Source organism: Homo sapiens, chromosome 2 (genome assembly GCF_000001405.40).
Source record: "Homo sapiens chromosome 2, GRCh38.p14 Primary Assembly".
NCBI classification, from domain to species: Eukaryota; Metazoa; Chordata; class Mammalia; order Primates; family Hominidae; genus Homo; species Homo sapiens.
This window is the reverse complement of record NC_000002.12, coordinates 222678557-222704373: the sequence shown is the minus strand read 5'-3', so window position 1 is coordinate 222704373 and position 25817 is coordinate 222678557. Positions and strand designations below refer to the sequence as shown.

At 40.7% G+C, this 25817-nt stretch overlaps 1 protein-coding gene and 1 non-coding gene across 2 annotated transcripts in view, besides 1 other annotated feature; one reads left to right on the top strand and one right to left on the bottom strand.

Annotated features, from left to right (window-relative positions):
* Window positions 1-25817, bottom strand: part of MOGAT1 (monoacylglycerol O-acyltransferase 1) — a 38273-nt gene that overhangs the window by 5557 nt on the left and 6899 nt on the right. Inside the window, exons 2-5 of the mRNA NM_058165.3 lie at window positions 15852-16030; window positions 14905-15109; window positions 9838-10012; window positions 9086-9285 (exon numbers count right to left, since the gene is read on the bottom strand). Coding sequence (NP_477513.2) covers window positions 9086-9285; window positions 9838-10012; window positions 14905-15109; window positions 15852-16030 — 759 coding nt within the window. The remainder of the gene's footprint in view (window positions 1-9085; window positions 9286-9837; window positions 10013-14904; window positions 15110-15851; window positions 16031-25817) is intronic.
* Window positions 6374-6478, top strand: LOC124906151 (small nucleolar RNA U13). Its single transcript, XR_007088740.1, has one exon. It is a non-coding gene; the product is annotated as a small nucleolar RNA U13 (small nucleolar RNA).
* Window positions 15561-15763: a silencer, noted in NCBI's record as "fragment chr2:223553330-223553532 (GRCh37/hg19 assembly coordinates)". NCBI's record gives its function as "represses an EF-1alpha promoter that drives an FKBP-Casp9 reporter gene in an ReSE screen in K562 erythroleukemia cells {active_cell/tissue: K562}" and the evidence as "EXISTENCE:reporter gene assay evidence [ECO:0000049][PMID:32094911]".

The following is a 25817-nucleotide window of genomic DNA, read 5'->3' as shown; positions in this document are numbered from 1 at the left end:
GGATTACAAGCGTGAGCCACCGCGCCTGGCCGGGATACTCTTAAAAGGGTCCCTGGAGCCCTAGAAGGCCAGAATTTTCTCTCTCCACAGAAACATCTTTTTAGTACTAAGGAGAAGAAAAAACATTTTCAACATAAGACTAAGTTGAAACTTCTGCAAAACTCCCTTTTTACAAAACAAAGGGGGAAAAACTCGGCTGCATCAGGCTGCTCTTAGAAATAGAATTCCTTGCCCTGGAAAAAAAGCTGCCAACGCCTACTTGTGACAGAGTCAGGAATCATAGCTTTTGTTTATGTTTCACTGCTTTTTATAGCTGGTATGCTCAACTGCTCCATTTTCCAATTCCATCCAACAATTCAAGATTAGTTATGCATGTATTGCCTTACACAGCTATCTTGCTTCAGTTTCTACGGTGCTATGCTGTACCTAAGATGAGGGAGCTTTGTGGGCTTGTGGTATACACAGCTGGAAAAGCATTTAGAAGTGGGCATTATTTTTTTTCTCGTGGAGGCAACCAGTAGATTATTCATAGAAAAAAAAAAATCTTTGTTTTACTATTCTGTAATTGTAAAGATTCTGTAGAGTTGATTGTTCTAATAGTCTCATGCAGGAATTGCTCTCCAACATGCTACATAGCTGTATATTAGAGAAAAAACAGGCAGGGGCTGTGTGGCCGACAAGGGTTAAAAGGAGCAGGAACCTGGGTGTCAGATGAAGCTGGAACGCAAATCAGGGCTCACCCGTGGCTTATGGTGGAGGCTCAAAAGATGCCCAATGTCAGCTTGTGTACATGTGAGTATGTATAGATCCACACACAGACACACTCACTCATGAACATTCATTGAGCACTTGATATGTTGTCCTGGGTACTGAAAGGTGGAAGAACATGCCACCCTAAAATATGCCACTTTGGCACCGAGATTATTTTGAGCTAAAGGCACTAAAAACAAACAAACAAACAAAAAACAAAACAAACAAACAAAAAAACCCTCAGGTACAAGAAGGGCACTCTAACCTCCCCTTTTCTTCCTGAAAGCAGGAAACAAAATTCCTCTGTAGAATATGCCCTCCCTATAGCAGGAAGGAAGGAACGTTATCACCAGAGATGTGGAGACAGGCCAAGAGAAATCTGTTCAGACCTTATTAAAATAACTCTTATCTTCCTTTAGTCTCCCCATTTACTTCAGCTATTTTTCCACAATTGCCTTTCTTTGTTCAACCTCATATATAAACTCAGCCCTTGCCCTTCTCTGGGTCTTCATTTTCTTATGGGGGTTCCCACATACTTGCAAAAATCTGCATGCTTTTCTCCTGTTGGTTGATGTCAACTTCATTCTCAGGCCCAGCCAGTGACCCTAAGAGGCTAGAGGTAAAGTTTTGCCTCCGCTACAACACCATGTTTGTGCCCTTAACATTATTTCCTTTAATCTCTTTAATTTTACAATGAAAAATTAAGTTTCCCTTTCTTTATTTTTTTAAAAATATTTTACGAAATCCCTTACTTAGTCAGTTTTTTGTTTGTTTGTTTGTTTTTTGTGGTTTTTTTTTTTGAGACAAAGTCTTGTTCTGTTGCCCAGGCTGGAGTGCATGGCTGGAGTGACTGCAACCTCCACCTCCCAGATTCAGTCTGCTTTTTTCCCATCAGAATATAAAAGTGACTTGAAACACAGTGGATTACTTTTGTCCTCATGTGGTTTCAAACTAGTTTTATTTAAATAAAATGCATTCCCTTACCTATCTTTTTTATTGAAAAAAAAAGTCAAACCTTCAGAAGGAATACAATAAGCACTTGCCTACCCCCATCTAGATGCAGCAATTTCTAGCATTTTGTGCACGTGTGCACACGTGTGTATATACATGTGCATTATTATTTCTATTTTTGTGGGGCCATTTGAAAGTAAGTTGTGGACATCAATGATTCAATCATGTGAATCATCCCTAAATATTTCTGCAGTATTACTTAAAAACAAGAACAATGTCCTATATAACAACACCATTATTATACTCAAGAAATGTAACCTCTTTACAATATTATTTTGTACTTAATCCAAATTCAAACTTTATCAGTCACCTCAATATCGTTCATAGTTGTTTTCCCATCAATCTACAACAGCTGTTGTGTTGTATGTCTCTGAGGACCCCCTCCCTCTTGTCTCTTATGACACTGATATTTTTAAAGAGTCCAGGCCAGTTGTTCTGTACAATGTCCCACAATCTGGATTTGTCTGATTATTTCCTCATGATTTGATTCAGATTAACATTTTGGCAAGTTACTTACACAGGGAACTAGAAACACATTTGAAAGCTCTCAACAAGCTAGGCAGGAGGCCTTTACTCCATTTGCCAACCTGCATTTGCCTAGCACCTGGAGTCTAGACTGCCTTCCCATGTATCATGACATTTAATCCCCATAATATCCCTGTGAGAAGACAGAATAATTTTAACGGTCTCTTCTTTCATAGTTGTAAACTCTGAGGTTCGGAGAAGATAAATGAAACATTCAAAGTCGCTCAGAGTCAGACCTCAAACCCATACCACTTCCTTCTGTACATCCAGCTGCTGCATAATAAATGCCTCTTAATGACAAGATCAATCTCTATGTGGCCAGCGCTGGAGCATCAGCCACAAGCCATCAGGGCACGCCTATGGATGGAAAGAACCCCCTCCTTTCCCCTCCCCTCCCATGCCCACCCCTCTTTTCTCTTTATCTCTCTCTCTTTCTTCTTTCTCTTTCCTTCCCGACGTCCTTCCTTTCTTCTCTCCCTCCCTCCCTCCCTTTCTTTCTTTCTTTTTCTTTCTTTTCTTTCTTTCTCTTTCTTTCTTTTTTCTTTTTTCTTTCTCTTTCTTTCTTTTCCCTTCCTTCCTTCCATCCCTCCCCACTCTCTCTTTCTTTCTTTCTCTTTCTTTCTTTTTCCTTCCTTCCTTCCTTTCTCTCCTCTCTTTCTTTCTTTCTTTATTTTTCTCTCTCTCTCTCTTTCTTTCTTTCTTTCTCTTTCCTTCCTTCCTCTTTTCCTTTCCTTTCTTTCCCTCTTTAATTCCTTTTATCTCTCTCTCTCTCTCTCTCTCTCTCTCTCCTCCTCCTCCTCTCTCTCTCTCTCTTTTTCTCTCTTTCTTTCAAGACAGTCTCACTCTGTCACCCAGGCTGGAGTGCAGTGGCACGATCTCCGCTCACTTCAACCTCTACCTCCCAGGTTCAAGTGATTCTCATGCCTCTTCCTCCCAACTAGCTGGGATTACAGGCGTGAGCCACCGCGGCCAGCCACGGGAAACTATTAAAGGATGGAGAATCCAGGCTTCTCTGGACACCTGTGAGAGGATTTAGCTAAGGTGATGATTTGGGATGAATCCAACTAATACTGAGTGAGTTGATGTTTATCTTATGACGTAAGGTAGCGCTTACTTAAGTTAATAAAGTAGGAGAGGGAGCAGAGGGACCACAGAATAACTTGCCGCTCTGAGATGTTGCCTGAATCCTTCCTGGGGTAGGACAGGGAGAATTCACGTCAGGGAGTCAGCAATGAAGCCACACTGCATTTCAAGTGCATGATTTAAAATAGAAATGAACACAGTCATTTACATCACTGTTTCAGCCTTATATTGTGTTTTATTCTCTGTGGCATTTGATTGACACATGGCTTTACTTTTTTTATGGAATTGTAAATGTTCTATCCTCCACTTGTGTTTTTTCAAGTAAATAAGTCTTTAAATACAGTCTTGAGGGTCTAGTTCACACAAATCGAGATGCTCTACATTATGGACTCCCATTCTTATACCTTAAGATCATAGCAGGTCAGTCTTTATGAAACATATACAAAACATATTCTTAGCTTGAGTTTTTAAACGTTTGAAACAACAACGGGATATTGAGGATGATACAGACTACTAATCATTGTAACTGTTTGCAGGGTAAGTAGAGGGAGGGACTGAAGCAATTTCCCCCTTTCTGAATGTTTAAGAGAAGCACATTGGACAAGTATGAGTGAAAACAAGTTAATACAGTTGCAGTTTTCCAGTCTTGACAACTAATTCAGATTCAGTAATTCCATTCAACCCTTGACTGATGATTATTTGTCAGTAGAGGTATAACTGGGCGATATCAAATGGCAAACCATTTAAAAAGTAAAAAAGCTTAACCAGGTGACAAGTGCAATCATTTAAGCCTACAGACTACACTTGCTTTCAGCATCAACAGCTTATTTCATGTGAGCATATGGTTACATTTCATTAAACTTTTAGTTCCTATTATCATGCCTTACAATTTCCTTTATATCATCCCCAAAGCTAACAATAGTACTTTGCATATAAGAGATCAAAAATGGTTAATGAATGTTATGCCAAAAAAGTAACCAGCTTATCTTGAACAATACCATTGCAAACTTAAATTTATCTCAAAATTCCCATTACCCTAACTGATCAAGTCTGTTAACATTCCATTTTATTAATTAAACAGCATTTAAGAATAATGTCATATGAAATCCATTTCTGCTCCAGTTTTTCAGTTAATACCAGCTCTCGAATACTCAGCAAGACACCATCTCGTAAAAGGAAGAAATATTAAGAAATATCTCCCAACAGAAGCTGGGCGCGGTGGCTCACGCCTGTAATCCCAGTACTTTGGGAGGCTGAGATGGGCGGATCACAAGGTCAGGAGATCAAGACCATCCTGGCTAACACAGTGAAACTCCGTCTTTACTAAAAATACAAAACAAAGTAGCCGGGCATGGTGGCGGGCAGCTGTAGTCGCAGCTACTCAAGAGGCTGAGGCAGGAGAATGGCCTGAATCCAGGAGGCAGAGCTTGCAGTGAGCAGAGATTGTGCCACTGCACTCCAGCCTGGGTGACATAGTGAGACTCCGTCTCAAAAAAAAAAAAAAAAAAAAAAAAGAAATATCTCCCAACAGGTCAAATCTCCTCCAGCCCAGAACATGAAGTTTGCAGAAAGTCTGAAGCATGTGGCTGAAAAACTCTGTCATGAGCTCTGCAACAAAGCTGGAGTACACAGGTGCAACCTATGTCCAGAAAAATAGGTGTATGGGGACAAATGCTACCAGTTCTATAAAGATAGCAAAAGTTGGCCGGGAGCGGTGGCTCATGCCTGTAATCCCAGTACTTTGGGAGGCTGAGGCAGGCAGATCACGAGGTCAAGAGATCGAGACCATTCTGGCCAACATGATGAAACCCCGTCTGTACTAAAAATACAAAAATTAGCTGGGTGTGGTAGCGCATGCCTGTAGTCCCAGCTACTTGGGAGCCTAAGGCAGGAGAATTGCTTGAACCTGGGAGGCCGAGGTTGCAGTGAGCAGAGATCGTGCCACTGCACTCCAGCCTGGCGACAGAGTGACACTCCGTCTCAAAAAAAAAAAAAAAAAAAAGACAGTGAAAGTTGGCAAAAATGTAAATATATCTGCATTGCTAAGAACTCTACCATCCAAAGATAAACACACAAGAAATGCTGGAGTTTGCTGTGTCTCAAAGCTACTCTGAGTTTTTCTACTCTTATCAGACAGGGCTCTTCCACCCGGGCAATGGCAAGGCCTGGCTATGGAAGGACGGAACTCCTTACTCTTCTGAACTCTTTGATATTATAATAGATGGCACTACCCTAAGAAGCAGAGGCTGTGTGACCATCCTCCATGGAAAGGCTTTCTCAAAGAACTGCTGAGAGTTGAGGTGGTATGTGTGTGAGAGGAGGGTGGCAATGGTGAAGCCGGAGACCCTCCATTAGCCTCCCTGAACCATTAGGTGAAGGTGATTGACTCTCCAGCTGCGACTACCAACAACAGAGTAGGAAAGTGAGGCCAGTGCAAGGGCTACTCGAGACACTGGGAAATTGAACATAAGCAGGAAAGACTATCTCTCTGACTAGTACAAGATGGAATCTCATGTTTCCTGTTCAGGATCACCAGCATTTCCGAGATAGGGTCCATATACATATTTACCAGTCACAAGAAGTCCTGTTTATATGCCACCAACCAGCCTCAGAAATCTATAATGTTGTCTACCTTCTTGGCTTAGAGATAACATTTAGCTTGCTTTCTTCTCAACATCTAATGTCACCTCCCTGTTTCCATGTCACCCTTACACTTGGGGGATTGAGAAACTTTTTGAAGTAAAGGAAATACATGGAAGTAACATCTTTTGTCCTGACGGTCAACTAGTCCATGAGAAGTTAGCAATTACTCCCCAGATTGTACTACCAAATGCACAAGGAATCCTTATTTTATTTCAGTTCATGCTATTCATTTTCCAGTCTCTCACTAAAACCCCATCTGCTATGTCTATGACCTGCTTCCCTACAGGGATGTCTCTTGTCATAAGAATCTCAATGTCTTATAAACATATGTTCCTGTGTCCATTAAGAGTCTGATAATTCGGTCCTTCTGTAGTTCATGAGCGTGAAGATTGGGTGCTCACGGGCACATGTGAAATGTGCCACCCTCTGAACCTTGTTACAACATCGGCACATTACCCATCTGACCTGAAGGAAAAAAAAAAAGATTCTGTACAGGCGGTGGCTCACGCCTGTAATCCCAGCACTTTGGGAGGCTGAGGCAGATGGATCACCTGAGGTCGGGAGTTCGAGACCAGCCTGGCCAACATAGTGAGACTCTGTCTCTACTAAAAATACAAAAAATTAGCTGAGTGTGGTGGTGCATGCCTGTAATCCCAGCTACTTGGGAGGCTGAGGCAGGAGAATTGCTTGAACCCAGGAGGCGGAGGTTGCAGATCATGCCATTGCACTCCGGCCTGGGTGACAAGAGTGCAACTCCATCTCAAAAAAAAAAAAAAAAAAAAAAAGATTCTGATAATTGTCTCCCTTCCACAGGAATTTCTCCCAGGAAAGAAATATATCCCCAACTCAGTTCCATATCAGAATTACTCTCCTCAATATTCCCTTCAGAGAGATTGAAAACCAGAAAAGTCACTCTTCATGTGCGTCTGCAATAGTTTTATTTCAGTTCCTATTTTCTTCCATTTGACCCACATTTATACCTTTCAGATACTTAAGATTTAATAATAATAAACGTAATTACTGTGGGAAAAATAATGTCATGTGATTGCATATTAAATGGAAAGCACTTATAAACTGATGGTAGTAAAATCCTAGCCTAGCAAAACAGACCTAAAACAATATTTGACTATATTTGAATTTTACTTAATGGGCTATCCATGGTGAACATATTACTTCCAGCTTCATAATATGTTTATAGTTTTAGTAATTCTGCTATTAGTGCCTGGCTCAGCACATTCTCATTTTAGCTCTCCAATCCTCTTCCAATCTGAGGGAGCTAAATACTTTGCTCCTGGGTTTTTTGTTTTTGTTTTTGTTTTTCTGAGATAGGGTCTTGATCTGTCACCCAGGCTATAGTGTCATGGCACAATCATAGCTCACTCCAACCTCCAACTCCTGGGCTCAAGTGCTCCTTCTTCCACAGCCTCCCAAAGCACTGGGATTACAAGCACATGCCATGGTGCCCCGCTAATTTTTAAAATTTTTAGTAGAGATGAGGTCCAGCTTTGTTGCCAGTCTGGTCTCGAACTCCTGGGCTCAGGCATTCCTCCTGTCTCAGCCTCCCAAAGTGCTAGGAATACAGGTGTGTGCCACCACACTTGGCCAACTCCTCAGTATTTTTATCAACATGGTCTTCACCCTCCTCCCTCAACTGGATTCTCCCAAACATGCAGCTTTTTAAAATAAAATGAGTCTAATTAAGAGTCAGAATCAACAAGGAATGCAAATAAATCAGCAAGAACAAAACAAACAATCCCATCAAAAAGGGCTAAGGACATGAATAGACAATTCTGAAAAGAAGATATACAAATGGTCAACAAACATATGAAAAAATGCTCAACATCACTAATGATCAGGGAAATGTAAATCAAAATCATAATGCGATACCACCTTACTCCTGCAAAAATGGCCATAATCAAAAATTCAAAAAATAATAGATGTTGGTGTGGATGCAGTGAAAAGGGAACACTTTCACACTGCTGGTAGGAATGTGAACTAGTACAACCGCTAGGGAAAACTGTAGACATTCCTTAAAGAACTAAAAGTAGAACTACCATTTGATCTAGCAATCCCACTACTGGGTATCTACCCTGAGGAAAAGAAGTCATTATACGAAAAATATACTTGCACACACATGTTTATAGCAGAACAATTTGCAATTGCAAAAATATGGAACCAGCCCAAATGCCCATCATTGAGTGGATAAGGAAATTGTGATATATGTATATAAACATCATGGACTACTACTTAGCCATAAGAAGTAATGAAATAATGGCATTTTCAGCAACCTGGATGGAATTGGAAACCATTATTCTAAGTGAAGTAACTCAGGAATGGAAAACCAAACATCGTATGTTCTCACTCATAAGTGGGAGCTAAGCTATGAGGACACAAAGGCATTAAGAATGATGCAATGGACTTTGGGGACTCGGGGGAAAGAGTGGAAGAGGGGTGAGGGATAAAAGACTACATATTGGGTGGAGTATACACTGCTCCAGTGATGGGTGCACCAAAATCTCAGAAATCACAACTAAAGAATTTATTCATGTGACCAAACACCACCTGTTCCCCAAAAACCTACTGAAATAAAAAAAAAATAAGTCTATAGCAGAATAGCAGAATATATATAAAACAGCTAGCTGCAAAAAAAAAGCTTTTGCTATAGAAACTGATGCTTATGTGAACTGAACATAATGAGGACACTTATCATACAGAAATGTTCATCTATCTGTAAACTCTGATATGACTTGTCATCAAAGAATTGCTATGCTATAATTGGCTGGCACAGAGAAATAGATTCATTATAGAGTATTAGAAACTTTATTTTGAAAATTGGATTTTACTTGTAGTGCAATAGCAGTATTCTTGAAAGTAATCAATTCCTATTCTAGTGGAAAATGTAGTCATTTCATAAATAAAAGGAATACCAGAAACAAAACTCAAATAACATCTACAGGATTATTGTTTCAGGAAGTTCTTACTCAAAGCCACTTCCCTTGCATTAGCACCTCAATCAATAACAAGAAACATTGCTTAAAGTAAGCTAATAGTTGTAGTTATTTTATGTACATACCAACAGTGTGGATGGCTTTCCTATAGGTCATTAGGCCAAAATTGTACTGAAAAACTCCCCTGGCATGAAACAGGGGCAAAGCAAACCCCATGATCTTCTGCAGTTTATTCTGAACAGTTCTAATCCATGATCCTTCAGGGTTGTCAGTTTGTTTAAACAGTTCATTTTCACCAAAAGAAACCACTGGGACCAGAGAGGCGCTGCAATAACAAAGGGGACGGGTGAGAATTTTCAATGAAAAGGATTCAAATAATTTATTCTGTTTAGCTGACTCTTGCAACAACTTCTGAAAAATTTTTTAAATGTGCCCAAGCCTTCCTATATTGCTAACTTCACGTTCATTGAAACTGTCTTAAACTTGACATTCTTTAGGGAGGAATTTCAGCAGGCTAGCCATTGACAGGATTTTATTCTATAGAAAATTAGGGTTCCAGGAAACTTCTCTTTTATCTATAGCTTTGGCCACTGTTGATTTGGCTGGAAAATTACACTGTATATATAGAATGTTGGTTTTTGTTGTTGTTCTCGTTGTTTTGCTTTTAGAGTTAAGTTTAATTGCTGAATGTCATGGCATTGAGCTACTGTAGTAAAAAGGTCATATTCCATTCCCCAAGAACATCCACACCTGCTTTTACTGTCAGATCGATTTGGAGGAGGTCTTTAAGGGCTAGAAAATCACCTTACTTCTTCGTGGTTTGTTTAATAATGTCTTAACTTTTCTGACCCCCTACTTTATACAAAAAGCCACTTACCCATGGGTCAAAGCAATTTTAACAAATCCTTTCCGCTGGCGGATGAACAGAGTGAACTTTCCAGGATGAGCATCCAGTGATTCTTTTGCACCCCCAAGGACAATGACAGAGATGTTTCCACCTCCCTCCTTGCTTACCATGTAGGACACACTTTTCTTGGAAACTGAAACCAGCCCTTAGTGAATAAAACAAAAAGTAACTAGTTATCCTTTTCTAACAATATTACAATGTTTTATCATAATATTCCATGACAATAGTAAACATTTAACAAAATTTCCTACACTGCTTACCTTTGGAGCACTTTGTAAGTTTGTAATTTTTCATAGCCAAATCTTTAGTAATGTATTCTATTAATAAGTTAACATCTTGGCAGGTAATGGGCTAGGTCTTTAAAATGTCATTCAGTCATTACTAGGTCTACCACTTGTTTGTTTAGGTAGGTTGTGCACTACTGAACTCTAGAGGACACCATTTATATTGCATTCTAAGTAAAAGGATCCCCTGCCCCTGGAGTTGTTCAGTGCACAACCTGCACAGCTGTATGTGGTGGCCTTGATATTTATCATGGCGAATTTTTACACAGAACCAAAAAGTATATTCTCCAAGAGGCTGCAGTGGATTTTCTGAATATATAATGGCCTGTTTTCAGATATTCTATATGGATCATTATTTTCCAAACCTGGATTTATAATATAAATGTGATATCGTTTGACTGTGCCCCCACCTAAATCTCACCTTGAATTGCAACTCCCACAATTCCTTCATGTCGTGGAAGGGACCAAGTTGGAGGTAACTGACTCGTGGGGGCAGGTCTTTCTCATGCTGTTCTCGTGATAGTGAATAAGTCCCATGAGATCTGATTGTTTCATAAAGAGGAGTTTCCCTGCACAAGCTCTCTCCTTGCCTGCCGCCACCCATGTAAGACGTGACTTGCTTCTCCTTGCCTTCCACCATGATTATGAGGCCTCCCCAGCCATGTAGAACTGTAAGTCTTTCAAACCTCTTTTTCTTCCCAGTCTTGGATATGTCTTTATCAGCAGTGTGAAAATGAACTAATACAAAATGGTTAAAAAAAAAAAAAAAAAAAACAAGACATTTGACAACCTAGATCACTTGCCAGATCTCTACATGTTTCCAATAAGTATAGTCTGACTTTGGTAAATTGTTCATTTAAAACAGTTAGATAATTGTTCGGTCTGTATTTCAGGCTTTCCCATGTAAAAATAACTTAAAAGATTCCTTTTCAGATTTCACATGTTCTACATACTCTTGGAGGAAAATATAGGAAAGAATAAAGACAAACATACAAACCAGTCTTGAACTACATTTCAGAAATAATCACTTTTTAATGTCTTATGTTTCTTTCCATTCTGGGTTTTATCCATTTTTATTTAGTCATAACAGAAAGTGTTAGACAGTCTTTATAAAGACATAGCATATCTCATCACTTGAAGAAAATGATATGCTAATTTTACTCTGGGTTTCTATTATGGGAGGAATTATGACAGGATTCTGAATGACCAACTGCCCTCTTAAGAGGCAGAGGATGCTGGGTTAGAGGTAGAGAGCCTGAGCCTGCCTAGATGGGTTTGAACCTTCACTGAGGTCAAGACATGCCATTCTGCTCTGTGTGAACCTGAGTGAGAGTTGGGTGCATCTCTTCCACCAGGAAGAGGGCCTCTTGGGTTTCCACACCCCTGGCTCTCCTAGCTTGCCTCTGGCCACTCCTCCGTTTTCCCTCAGGCTCCTTGTCTTCAGGCCATCCTTCAATGCTGCTATTTCTTAGGGGTCCTTCCTTATCTCTCTTGTCCTCTAACCTCATCTACACCCATGGATTCAACTACCATTTATGTATGCTGAGTTCTCCCAAATCCATCTGTCAGGAGATCTTCCTCCTGAGGTTCCAGGCCCATATCTCCAAATGCCCAATTGACAGCTCTACAGTGACAGCTCTAAGACACCTCAAACTACACGTCTCCAAACCGAATGCATTAAATTCTCCCTTAAAGTTGTCCCTCTTCCAACATTATTTATCAAGGTGAATGGGACCATCATCTATCTGGTCAAAACACAGCTTCTTCCATATGTAGCCACATTCTCCTTTCTTAGCCACCACATTGACTGATCATTCATTCATTTAAAAGCATTTATTGAGCACCTGCTACTGGCCAGGTACTGGGCTAAGTATTGATAATAATGACAAAATAGTTACTGACTTCATGAGGATGAATCAATCATTAAGTCTTAGAGACTGTATCAAATATTTTTGATATTAATCTCCTCTTCTGTATCTCCAGTGCCATTGCCACTGTTAGCATAGCCCTTATCACCTCTCCCTTCATCACTCAACAGGCCGCTTCCATCATCAGTCTCCAGGCCTACCTGCCTGTAACCACGTTCCAAGCTGCTGCCTGAATTATCTTTCTATCACACCAAATCCATCAGATCCCTCCTTTGCTCAAAATCCCTCCAAGTTCCCCATGGCTTATCTACAAAATAAAATCGAAAGTCCTCTGTATGGTATATAAGGCTGTTGTGATCTGATTCTGTTACCTGTCCAGCCTTAAGGGGTAAACAGAAAGAAGTATGAACCTGAAACGCAGTTGGCTCTGGCTGACACCTGATAGGTATAGATACACCCAAAATGGGACAAGAGGAATGGGTTGGAGGTGGGATTTAAAAGGACTTACAGATGCAGAATCCTATTGGGTAAGAGCAAAACAGACTGCTGTCAACAAAGGCCCTCTGAAGCCCTATGGTTCCTTACTACGTGAGGTCTGGTGCCTATGTCTGTCAGTCTTTCACACCCAGAGAGGCAGCCGCTTGGGCAGGCACAGTGGAGAGGGGCAGCCTTGGACCAAGGGCTGTCCTAGGAAGCTGGTTCTGGGAAGTATAGATAATTCTTTAGACTTAGAAACAAGGATAGTCCAAACCTCCACTGGCTGAAAGTTTGAGTATTTCTATTTACCTTTTAAGGAACTGAAGGTTGTACCACAGAAAACTATTCATGATGTCAGAAACCAGTGATTGCTGGGCGCAGTGGTGCATGCCTGTAATCCCAGCGCTTTGGGAGGCCGAGCTGGGTGGATCACCTGAGGTCAGGAGTTCTTGACCAGCCTGGCTAACATGGTGAAACCCCGTTTCTACTAAAAATACAAAAAATTAGCCTGGCATGGTGGTGCAAGCCTGTAATCCCAGCTGCTTGGGAGGCTGAGGCAGGAGAATCACTTGAACCAGGGAGGCAGAGGTCGCAATGAGCCAAGATCACGCCATTGCACTCCCCAGCCTGGGCAACAAGAGCGAAACTCCGTCTCAAAAAAAATAAAATAAAATAAAATAAAAAATAAATAAATAAAAAGAAACCAGGGATTGCAAACAGCTTTCCTCTCCAAAGCCAACTCTAGTAAACTGCAGTGGCTGTAGGGGCACTATACGGAGAAAGACTCTAAGATGGAGTATATGTGTCTGATAAGGCTATGGAGAAGGGGGTACCTACATCTCTTGTCCATGAATTTGCCAAACCTGCTCTTAACTATACGACTCAAACTCACTGCGGCAATGCTTTGAATAAGCAAACATTACACTTTAAATATGTTTCTGTGCTTTTGTGAAATTTAAACATTTTTCTCTGTAATTGTCTTCCTTTTATAAAACTCTAACACAATGTATACAAAACAAGGAAGAGAAGTAATTCCCCCCCAACCCCACTTTCGGTGGTTAAGAGGGGGATAGTGCACCCTCTGCAGGCCAGATGCCGGATCTTCCGGTAGCTTGGAGGGTTTAGTGCGCCCTCTAGTGTGCCCTCGGGACCAGGCTGGACTTTGAAAACAACCTGAAAACTCAGCGGTGAATTCTGGTACCTGGGTGCTTAGTGATATGCTACCAGGTATATAATGACAGTAGTGACTTGAGAGATTAATAGGACGTAATAAAAGTCTAGAGGACCATGAACAATTCTTTTTTTTCTTTCTTTCTTTTTTGAGACGGAGTATCGCTCTGTCGCCCGGGCTGGAGTGCAGTGGCAAAATGTTGGCTCACTGCAACCTCCACCTCCTGGGTTCAAGCAGTTCCCCCACCTCAGCTTCCTGAGTAGCTGGGATTACAGGCGCCCACTACCATGCCCTAATTTTTGTATTTTTAGTAGAGACGGGGTTTCACTATGTTGGCAAGGCTGGTCTCGAACTCCTGACCTCAAGTGATTCACCCCACCTCGGCCTCCCAAAGTGCTGAGATAACAGGTGTGAGTCACTGCCCTCGTCTCTTTTTATTTATTTTTTTAATTGTGATTGGGTCTCTCTCTGTCACCCAGACTGAAGTGCAGGGGCACCATCTCCGGTCACTGCAGCCTTGACCTCCCAAGCTCAGGTGATCCTTCCACCTCAGCCTCCTGAGTAGTTGGGACTACAGATGTGTGCCACCATGCCCAGCTAATTTTTGCATTTTTTGTAGAGACAGGGTTTTGCCATGTGGCCCAAGCTGGTCTCAACCTCCTGGGCTCAAGAGATCTGCCCGCCTCAGTCTCCTAAAGTGCTGGGATTACAGGCGTGAGCCACCGCGCCCGGCCTGGACTCTTATTTCTGAGCCAAGTTATTTTTCATCTAGGAAGACAGCAAGTTGAATATGCTTAGTTTTATCACTGCTGTTACTTCAAGACACAATGAAAGACATTTTCCATTTCTAGTATTCGTAACAGCATGCATGGTGCCTCTCCAAGGGTGTGATTTGTCACTTACTTGATCCCTGATTTCTTTTTCTACATCTGAATACACAAACTGCATTCATTACTTTATTTGATCATTGTGTTAATATTCATTGAACATTTCTATGTTCCAGGCACCATGCTGGATACTTGGGATGGAACAGAAAAGAAGACACAGTTTGTGTTTCTGCCACTTACAGTCCAGTGGGGGAGGGCAGGAAACACCCAGACACCATAGGAAGTGCCAGATGAGGATAAAACAGGTTTTACTCTAAGAGACCATAAACACACATGGGCCTGGGAGGGAATGTTCTGTGTGCTCCTGCTACCCCAAAGCACTGTGGAAACAGTGATCTGCCATCACTTACCAACACTCATCACATATTCTCGAAAGACAGGACACCAGAACCAAAGTGGCAGCACGTGAAGATATGAAGTAAAGCCAGGAAACAGGTCCTTGAAGTCAGAATAATTTACAGAAAAATTCCCAAAGGCTCCAACTGCCATTATTCCATGGGGGTGAAACCCAAATATATAGTTGTGACTTGGATCCAAATCTTGAGTTTTGATAAGCTACAGCACATTCATATTGAGATTTTAAAAAAAAGAAACTTCCCTTATTATTTTCCAATGAGAAACAAAAGGACTAGTTTTTATGTCAAGAGAAAATGGAGAACATGACTCATTTTTGTTCCCTGGGTTGGAGCTGTTTCCAAATTTCTAAACTATCTTCTGAGCCCAGATCCCTTTATATATAGCCTTCTAGATTTTGTCAAGTCAGCTTACAGTTCATTTAGTAATTGGAACCAAATTGCAGCCTTTCTCCCTGCTATGGTTTGAATGTTTCCCTCAAAAGTAAGTGTTTAAAAACTTAATCCCCAACGCAACGGTGTTGGGAGGTGGGGCCTAATGAGAGGTAATTAGGAATGAAAGCAGAGTGAATGGATTAACGCCATTATCACAGAAGTGGGTTTGTTATCTTGGGAGTGAGTTCCTTATAAAGGAATGAATTCAACCCCCTCTTGCTCTTTTTTGCCCTCTCCTGCCCTTCTACCTTGCGCTATGGGCTGATGCAGCAGGAAGGCTCTTGCCAGATGCCAGCATCTTTGGTATCTTGCCAGATCCCAGCCTCCACAACTGTGAGAAAAAAATTTGTTTTCTTTATAAATTACCTAGTCTTTGGTATTCTGTTACAGCAGCACAAAACAGACTAAGACATCCCCTCTGAAAAAGAAGCTTGAGATATATGTGATGAAAACAAATTTCCACTCTTCTCCTAAATCAAAATAATACTTTATAAAACAACTGTACTCACATGAATTGGAAAATAGTCCTTAAAGTGTTTCCAAAGAGTCCAATTTTTGATCCAGCTGGATCTCCTGCCTCCTCGCTCTGGGGTATGCCAGTCAAAGTAAAGCCACATCAAATAAGGGATGTAAAGGAACAAATAGTTGTGTATGATCAGCATCACAGTGATTCCAATGGACATCGGCCCTGTAAGAAAAGAAAAAGTCTCATGGAATCAGTCTGTTAGTATCTGCTCACTGCAGTGGCCCATGGCAGGGGGATTAATACATATAAGATATGTCAAACTGAGCCTCAGTTCAGGTAAGGTAATATAACAAGACAGTAATGACACAGTATTATTTAACATTTATTGGGTGTTTACTATATGCCAAGCATCGTGTTATGGACCCTGCCAAGGTATTTTTATTTAATCGTCGTATAGCCACATACCAATAAAGTAGCCACAGTACTCTTTATTTTTGAAGGGGGAGGTGGAAGGAATCGGTAGAGGAAACACTGAGCCATAATGTTCTTTTTAAAAAAGAGAGAATGGAAGCTTATCGAAGGGTTAAGTGAGTTGCCCAAGCCACACAGCATATAAGTGGTTGATCTGTCTGATGTTAAGGTCTAACTACTTAGTCATAGCTTTACATTGGCTCCCCTATGTGAACATATGGAAGAATCATCACCGACAGGAGGGATGTAGAGAATTTCCTACTACAGAAAATTCCATCTTCCTACCTTGACCAAGCAGCCATTATTCATGTGCCCACAAAGAGGGCACATTCTAGCAACAAACTTCATTTTCAGGAACTCTACTGTCAGAGACAGAAATAGCAAAGGTGGGACTCTTCAGATCTTAGCATGCATCACTTCTTGCAACATGTGATAATGAGAGAGCAATCCTAATTGTTTATGCACCTAATAACATAGCTTCAAAATACACGGGGCAAAAACTGTCAAAACTTGACTTGGGTTGTAGTGACAAGAATGGTTACCTTCAAGTAACACATGAAGCTCAGCTATACATTTTTTAAATGTCTATGTTATATACTACAATTAAAAAATTATGAAAAGAGAAACATGCTAACAAGAGAATGTTCATGAAGACATAAACCCTGGCACATAGCAAATCTTCACTAAATGTCAGCTACTATGACTTTAAGGAATGCCGTTGCTGCTTTCTCTTCTATAACACACTGCAGTCTCCAATCTAGGGTTCATTTCCACCCCCAAACTCTTATCTACTGCCAATCAACTTTGTTAAAGACAACCCTGTCCCCAAATGATCCACCAAAGTATCTGAGAAATAGCGTTTAATCTGTTATTGAAATATATACATATATACTGACATACATGTTTTACCAAAAACAACATTTATATATATTTTTTCTTTCTTTCTTGTTCTTTCTTTTTTTTTTTTTTTTTTTTTTTTTTGAGATGGAGTCTCACTCTGTTGCCCACACTAGAGTGCATGGGTGCAATCTTGGCTCACTGCAGCCTCTGCCTCCTGGGTTCAAGCGATTCTCCTGCCTCAGCCTTCCAGGTAGCGAGGATTATAGGCGCGCACCACCACGCCCAGCTAATTTTTGTATTTTTTAGTAGAGACAGGGTTTTGCCATGTTGGCCAGGCTGGTCTCAAACTCCTGACCTCAAGTGATCCACCCGCCTCAGCCTCCCAAAGTGTTGGGATTACAGGTGTCAGCCACAGCACCTGGACTATTTATATTTCTTGATACATATAAATCAATAAATTTCTCAGATATATCATTGAACCCAGTCAGGAAACTGACTTGCTGCTCTCTCCAGAGTTGGTTAAAGGTTGAAAGACTGGATGAAAGGTTAAGGTAGCATGTGTCCTCCACACCTCTGTGGGGTATCCTGTTACCTTCTGGACCCACCAGAAAAGCTTCCATGAGTCCAAAGCATGCTGTAAAGAGTGCCCTCTGCCCTCATTCCTACCAGGATCATTCCATTTTGCTTCCTCTGCTTTCTTCTATCCAGATCTGAGTACTGATGATTTGCCACTATTGGTTAGTTTTCTGTTTATTTTGGTAAGATGTGCAAAAAAATGACAGGAAACATGTGGGCCTCATTCTTTTGTACTCAAAGTTTGATCAGATAAGCTACAGTGAAATAGGGCAGGGAAAGAATAGTTATTGAGTGGAGAACGATTATCCTTCACTGTATATAGGGCATCTCATTTATTCCTCTTTGAAACCCCAAGGTACACGTTATTGCCCCATTTTACAGTTGTAGAAACTGAGGCTCAGGGAATTTGAGCGTCCAAAGGATTTGCAGCTGGATCTGCCTAATCCTTAAATCCATGCACTTTTTCACAAAGCCACGCTATCCTCCAGCTAATGGTAATAACACTGTAGACTAACTTATTACAGGTGCTTAAGCAGGTTCGTAAGCATAAAGAAGCAGGCAAGTGGGAGGTTCTGTTTTCCTTTCTACAAAGATGGAAAAACTGACACCAAAAGCAAACTGACCTAATTTTAATCATAGAGTGAGCCAGGAACAGATCCAAAAATAATGTCCCCAAGCTACTAATTCAATATTTCACTAACCGAACCCCGGCTACCTGAATACATGCTGCATATCTCTTTAATGCTCATTACATGTTTTACATCAAAAGAAGAAAACACAGCCGGGCACAGTGGCTCGTGACTGTAATCCCAGCACTTTGGGAGGCTGAGGTGGGTGGATACCTGAGGTCAGGAATTTGAGACCAGCCTGGCCAACATGGAGAAACCCTGTCTCTACTAAAAATACAAAAATTGGTGGGGTGTGGTGGTGGGTGCCTGTAATCCCAGCTATTTCGGAGGTTGAGGCAGGAGAATCGCTTAAACCCAAGAGACGGAGGTTGTAGTGAGCCGAGATCGCACCATTGCACTCCAGGCTGGGCAACAAGAGAGAGACTCCTCTCAAAAAAAAAAAAAAAAAAAAGAAGAAGAAGAAAACACTATAAAAACTAGGTAACTAGATAACGTCTATTTTTTATTTTCTATACATGCTGCATATCTCTTTAATGCTCATTACATGTTTTGCATGTATAATAGTTAAGATGTAGGTCTGGAATGGAACTGCTAATTGGAATTTGCCACTGTCTAGCTTCCTGACCCGGGACAAATTCTATGAGCTCTTGATCTTCAATTCCATTGCCAGTAAAATGGGCTTATGACAGCTCCTGTTTCCAAATGCCACAAAGGGAATAAATAACATGAGGGTGTACAGTTCCTGGCACAGAACTGGTATTCATCAAATGTGAGCCACTGTTATAATAACTTTCTTTACTATTACACATTTGGAGACTGCAAAATGTAGCTGCAGATGGGACATGAGGCAAGTTCCTGTCACTCAACAAAAATTACTCTTAAAATTTTCCTTTTGGCCTTTTTTCCCCTATGAACAGGTTATGTTTCTTTAATATGGCTGACCACACATTTTTAAATATTCTGTATTTTATCACAATTATTTCACATTAGCTGTTTGGTATTACAATGTTATTTTTAACGACTGATCAATATTCTATTGATTACCAGTGCTAATTCAACCATTCTCTTCATTTTAAATATCTGTGATTCTAACAATTTTTCTCTATAAATGTAATCTTGCATAAAGTTTGCCCACATTTTGATTTACTTCCATAAGATAATAAGAAGTAAAATACGGCTGGGCACGGTGGCTCACGCTTGCAATCCCAGCACTTTGGGAGGCCGAGGCAGGTGGATCATGAGGTCAGGCGTTTGAGACCAGCCTGGCCAACATGGTGAAACCCCGTCTCTACTAAAAATACAAAAATTAGCTGGGCGTGGTGGCAGGCACCTGTAATCCCAGCTACTTGGGAGGCTGAGGCAGGAGAATTGTTCGAACCTGGGAGGCGGAGGTTGCAGTGAGCCGAGATTGCACCGTTTCACTTCAGCCCGGGTGACAGGGCAAGACTCTGTCTCAAAAAAAAAGAAGTAAGATACTGGATGGCTAAGCAGAAACATCTTTGTCAGCTGATACACTTTGATATTTTGCTATCCAAAGAAGTTGTTCTAATTTAAATTCCCACTCTAGATACTGCATACATTTTTTGTTTCAAATCATAAAGAGCATCACAATAGTTTTGTAATCCTTTCTTTCTTTTTTTTTTTGAGACAGAGTCTCACTCCATTGCCCAGGCTGGAGTGCGATGACATGATCTCAGCTCACTGCAACCTCCGCCTCTTGGGTTCAAGGGATTCTCCTGCCTCAGCCTCCCGAATATAGCTGGGATTACAGGCATGTGCTACCATGCCCAGCTAATTTTTGTAGTTTTAGTAGAGACAGGGTTTCACCATGATGGCCAGGCTGGTCTTGAACTCCTGACCTCAGGTGATCCACCCACCTAGGCCTCCCAAAGTGTTGGGATTACAGGCATGAGCCACTGCACCTGGCCCTGTAATCCTCTGATTCTAAACGGGATTGAAACAAGAAAACACTATAAAAACTAGGTGACTAGATAACCTCTATTTTCTATTTTTATCTCATTAAGCAATTCAGGGTAATCTGATTCTTCTAAATTGGAGTTCAAAGAGAAGAGGAAGATACAAAGGTCTACGCTGTTACATTGTGCAGCTCTCGAAACTTATGTTGATAACTTTAAAAGTTGTCTAGATTCACAAACCAAGTTGAGTTGAAGGCCTGAATTTTAGCTGGGTTGATTTATCTCTATTCTGGATTAAAAACCACAACTTGGCTTCCTATCAATGGCACTCTGTTTTCACTTAGCTCTCATAGATTCTACTTTCTCCAGATTGTTGAGGAAGCTGTCCCTCACTCACTTTTTTTTTTGAAACGGAGTCTCACTTTGTTGCCCAGACTGGAGTGCAGTGGTGTGATCTCGGCTCACTGAACCTCCACCTCCCGAGTTCAAGTGATTCTCCTGCCTCAGCCTCACAAGTAGCTGGGATTACAGGCACGTGCCACTATGGCTGGCTAATTTTTGTATTTTTAGTAGAGGCGGGGTTTCGCCATGTTTGCCAGGCTGGTCTAGAACTCCTGACCTCAGGTGATCCACCCACCTCAGCCTCCCAAAATGCTGGGATTACAAGCGTGAGCCACTGCGCCTGGTCCTTTTTTTTTTTTTTAATTTAAGTGAAATTCACATAACATAAAAAACCAGCGATTTTAAAGAGAACACTCTGGTGGCATTTAATTCACAATGTTGTACAACTACTACCACCATCTAGTTCCCAAACATCCCCTTATTTCAAAATAAAACCCTTTACCCATTAAGCAGTTACTCCCCATTCCTCCCTCAGCTCCACCACTGGCAATTACCAATCTAAAGTCTGTTTCTTTTTTTTTTTTTTCTGAGACAGGGTCTCACTTTGTCACTCAGGCTGGAGTGCCATGGCATAAACATGGCTCACTGCAGCCTCGACCTCTTGGGCTCAGGTGATCCTACCACCTTAGCCTCCCAAGTAGCTGGGACTAGAGGTGCACACCATGATACCTGGCTAATTTTTGTAGTTTTTGTAAAGATAGGATCTTGCCATGTTGCTCAGGCTAATCTCAAACTCCTGCGCTCCACCGATCCACCTGCCTCGGTCTTCCAAAGTGCTGGGATGACAGGTGTGAGCCACTGTACCTGGCTGTATTCTGTTTCTGTGGATTTACCCACTCTTGATATTCATATGAATGGAATGGTATAATATGTGACCTTTTGTAGACTTTTGTTTAGCATCAAGTTTTTTGTAGACCTTTGTTTAACATCAAGGTTTTGAGGTTCATCCATGTTGTAGCATGCATCAGTACTTCATTCCTTTTTATAGCCGAACAATATTCCCACTTACATATACACTGTAATCTGATAATTCATGCATCTGTTGACAGACATTTGGGTTGCTCCCACCTTTGGCTACTGTGAATGCCACAGTGCCCCCATCACTGGAACCTTACTACATGTTTGAAACAAGTAAGGCTCCAGCAAAGTGTAAGTGTGATCATCGAATTTAGCACCACCAATAAAGGGACAAAATGACATGATGCCTCCTCATAGGATCTAATGGGAAATACATTCCATCACCTTAGTCAAGTCCAGGTTGGGGGGCACTCTACAAGATAACTGGCTTGGGCTGTTTAAAAATAATCAACCTTGTAAAAGCTTTAAAAACAAATTAAAGGTAGAGGAACTGGTCTACTTATAAAGGAAAAGTTGAAGACGATGAGGGAAATTTGAATATAAACCATATATTAAATAAGATTATCATATCCCTGATAAATTTCTTGGGTATGATAGTAGGATTTTGATTATACAGAAAATTCTTGTTTTCAGGCGATACATGCTACAGTATTTAGAGATGAAGTGTTATGATGTTTACAATTTAGTTTCTTCTAAATTGTTCAGCAGCAACAACAAAGTGTGTGTGTGCACACGTATGTGTGTGTGTGTGTGTGGTGAGAGGGAGAGAAAGCAAATGTGGCAGAATGCTAAAAAGTTGCTAAATCTAGATAAAAAGGAATATGTTTTCAAAAATTTTTATTTTATTATGGTAAGAGCAGTTAACATGCAATTACCCTCGTAACAAACATTTGTGTAAATAAGTATATAACGCAGTATTGTTAGTTGTAAGTACCATATCTGTGACATAATAATATTTGGTCTCTGCCTCCAGTTCCTGGCCTAGGGCTCCTAAAACGGTTGTAATTTCCTGATCAACAGGGGTGCTAGGTACATCTTTCCATCTTTTGTTCTTAATATTTGGACCCCAGTCCTGACGCTGAGCTCCCAATCCCTTGGAACTTCCTGAGTGACAGCAATGTCTTTTCTTCTAATGAGACAACTCTTGGTGGGCTCCAGGATGGTGGCTGGTCACTGAAAGACTAAGCAGTCCAAGATGCTTGGAACCTGCAGCCCCACCCCCATCGTCAGGGAGAGGAGAAGGGCTGGAAATTGAGTTAGTGACTGATCATGTTAGTAACTGATCATGCCTAAATGAGGAAGGCTCCATAAAGTCCAGGGTTCAGACAGCTTCTGGGTTGGTGAACACAATCACAAGCTGAGAGATTGGTGTACCCCAACACCATGGGGACAGAAACTCCTGTGCTTTGGAACATTTCAGACCCCTACCTGGGTACCTAATCATCTATATCATTTATCATATCCATTATAATAAACTGCCAAACATAAGTGTTTTCCTGAGTGCTATGAGCCATCATAGCAAATGACAGAGTCCAAGGAGGAGGTCGTGTGAATCCTCAATTTGTAGCCGTCAGAAAGAAGCACAAGTGCCAACCTGGACTTGTGGTTGGCATCTAAAGTTGGGGCAGTCTTGTAGACTGAGCTCTTCACCTGTGAGACCTAGCTCCAGGTAGACAGCATCAGAACTGAACTATAGAATACCTAGTTGGTGTCTGGAGAGTTGGAGAAGGGTTGGTCCAGCAAAACCAGGGACATAAATTTTCAGTTTCCATGAATTGAAGACTTTCGACAAGGAGTGGTGGCCAGGTCTGTGGCTTCTTGAAAGCGCTTAAGTGCTTACACAGACAATTCCCATACATTAATGATTTTCCCTCTCTTGTCGCTACCCTTTCTGACTCCATTCCACTCACCTAGCTATTTACAATAAGTGAAATTGTTCTATAAAATCTCCATGAGCAACCTGCATCAGCCAAAACATTGTGAAAGCCACTGAATGTTTATTTACTTGCATTAAATAATGACCATAATTAAGAAATAATTTAAGACTTTAACTTGTATATGTATTGTTTCTTCCTATTCTCATCCAAAAAATTTTCATTTTTTTCTGCATGAAAACTGTTTCCATACTTATTTTAACCATTTAACGTAGTATGGAGAAAGTAAGTAAAATTCAGAGGCAAGCAAAAATCCATTAGCACCTCTTTTCCTTCTTATTCCCGGAGACACTATATTTTTTAAATACCTATCCGTGCCATCTGTAGAATATAAGAATGTAAGTGTAAATTCTTCTGATTTTAAAAATTTCTATTTTAAGAGAACTTGCCTCCCAGAGTTTTTAAGGATTGTGCTAAAAGACAAATCTCATCAGACCCCTTTGCAGAATTTTGCAGCCTAGTTTTCTTCATATGTGTGTTTATTCTACACTGCTTTTAAAAAGTGTTACATACAGGGAAATACCTTTCTCTTGTTTTATAGCACAGCCAATATTGAACCTACTTCCTTGCCTGATGAAGGCAAATAAATTATAACAAAGATCTGGCTGAAACCAGCCCCATGTTCTAAATCTTTCAGGAAGGTTTCTATAAACACAAATACTTTGTATAGTTCAACCTGAAATCCATGGAGATAATCCATAATAAAAGAGACACACTAGTGTTTATGAAAGCCCAAGAATCCCTTGCGTAATGTTAAAATGTACTTTCTCCAAATTTTCCAGATTGAAGGAACTAAAAAGACAAAATAATGTGAAAAGACAAAATTACAGCAAATTTAGTTATGGAGCTAATTGACTTTTATTCACTATTCATTAATCAGGGCAGCCTCCATTCTGCAAAATAGAAGGAGAGCTTTTACCGAGAAATGGTGGAACAGTGGGTAAGGTAGAAACAAAGAAAACAGAACAAGAGGGAAGAAAAAGTGGATTGGCTATTGTCATGTCACTTCAGGTTGCTTTTTCATAAAGTTAAAGCAAAGCAGACTTCCTTATTACACGGACTCAGGCAGACTGAATCTCCTGTTTTCAGGAAAACTGGTCTGTTTGGAGATCTACCTGCTTCCTTGAAGTTTCAAGTTTGATCATGTGGCACATAGGATGAGTGACTCCACTTTGGTTTGCTCAGGTCTGCTGGAGCCTAGTGCAGGAGCTCAGTCCAAAACAATGACTGCTCATAATTTCTGTTTAACACAACTAAATACAACATGTGGATTCCTTTGCTATACAGGACATTAGTAAGGGAACTTCTGAAATATGAATAATGTCTATAGGTCATAGTATTGTATTGTTATTTTTCTGATTTGGGTAATTGTACTGTGGCTGTGGAAGAGAAATGTTCTTGGTTTTAGGACATATGTACTGTAATCAGTTCAGTTAGTTTTCTACAAATTAAACTATAAGCTAATTCCAATCAAACAGCAATCCCAATCAAAATCCCAGGAGGGTTTTTTGGTGTGGAAATTGTTAACCTGATCCTAAAATGCATATGGAACTGATAAGGACGTGGAATAATCAAAACACCTGTGAAAAACAATACCACCAACAAAGTTTGAAGACTAACAGTATCTGATTTCAAGAATTATTATAAAGCTATAATAATCAAAACAACAGGGTACTGGCATCAAGATAGATGAACAGATCAATGGCACAGACTAGAGAGTCTAGAAATAAACCCATGCATATATGGGCAATTGATATTTGATAAAGGCACAAGGGCAATGCAGTAGAGAGCAGATAGTGATCTACCAAAAAAGAGCTGGAACCATTGGATTATATATATGCAGAAAAATGGATTTAGACACTGTACCACACACAAAAATTAACCCTAAATAGATCATAGATCTATATGGAAAACCTAAAACTATTAACACTGGTAGGAGAAAATATAGAAGAAAATTTTTGTGACCTTGGATTAAGCAAAGAACTTTTTTTTTTGAGACGGAGTTTTTTGATCTTGTCACCCAGGTGCTGGAGTGCAATGGCACGATCTCAGCTCACTGCAACCTCCACCTCCCGGGTTCAAGCAATTCTCCTGCCTCAGCCTCCCAAGTAGCTGAGACTACAGGCACCCGCCACCATGCCTAGCTAATTTTTATATTTTTAGTAGAGGCAGGGTGTCCCCATGTTGGCCAGGCTGGTGTTGAACTCCTGACCTCAGGTGATTCACCTGCCTCGGCCTCTCAAAGTGCTGGGATTACAGGCATGAGCCAGCACACCCAGCCAGATTAAGCAAAGATTTTAAAGATACGACACCCAACACAATCTATTAAAAAAATGGATACAATTAACTTCATCAAAATTAAAACTTCTGCTCTTCAAAAGAC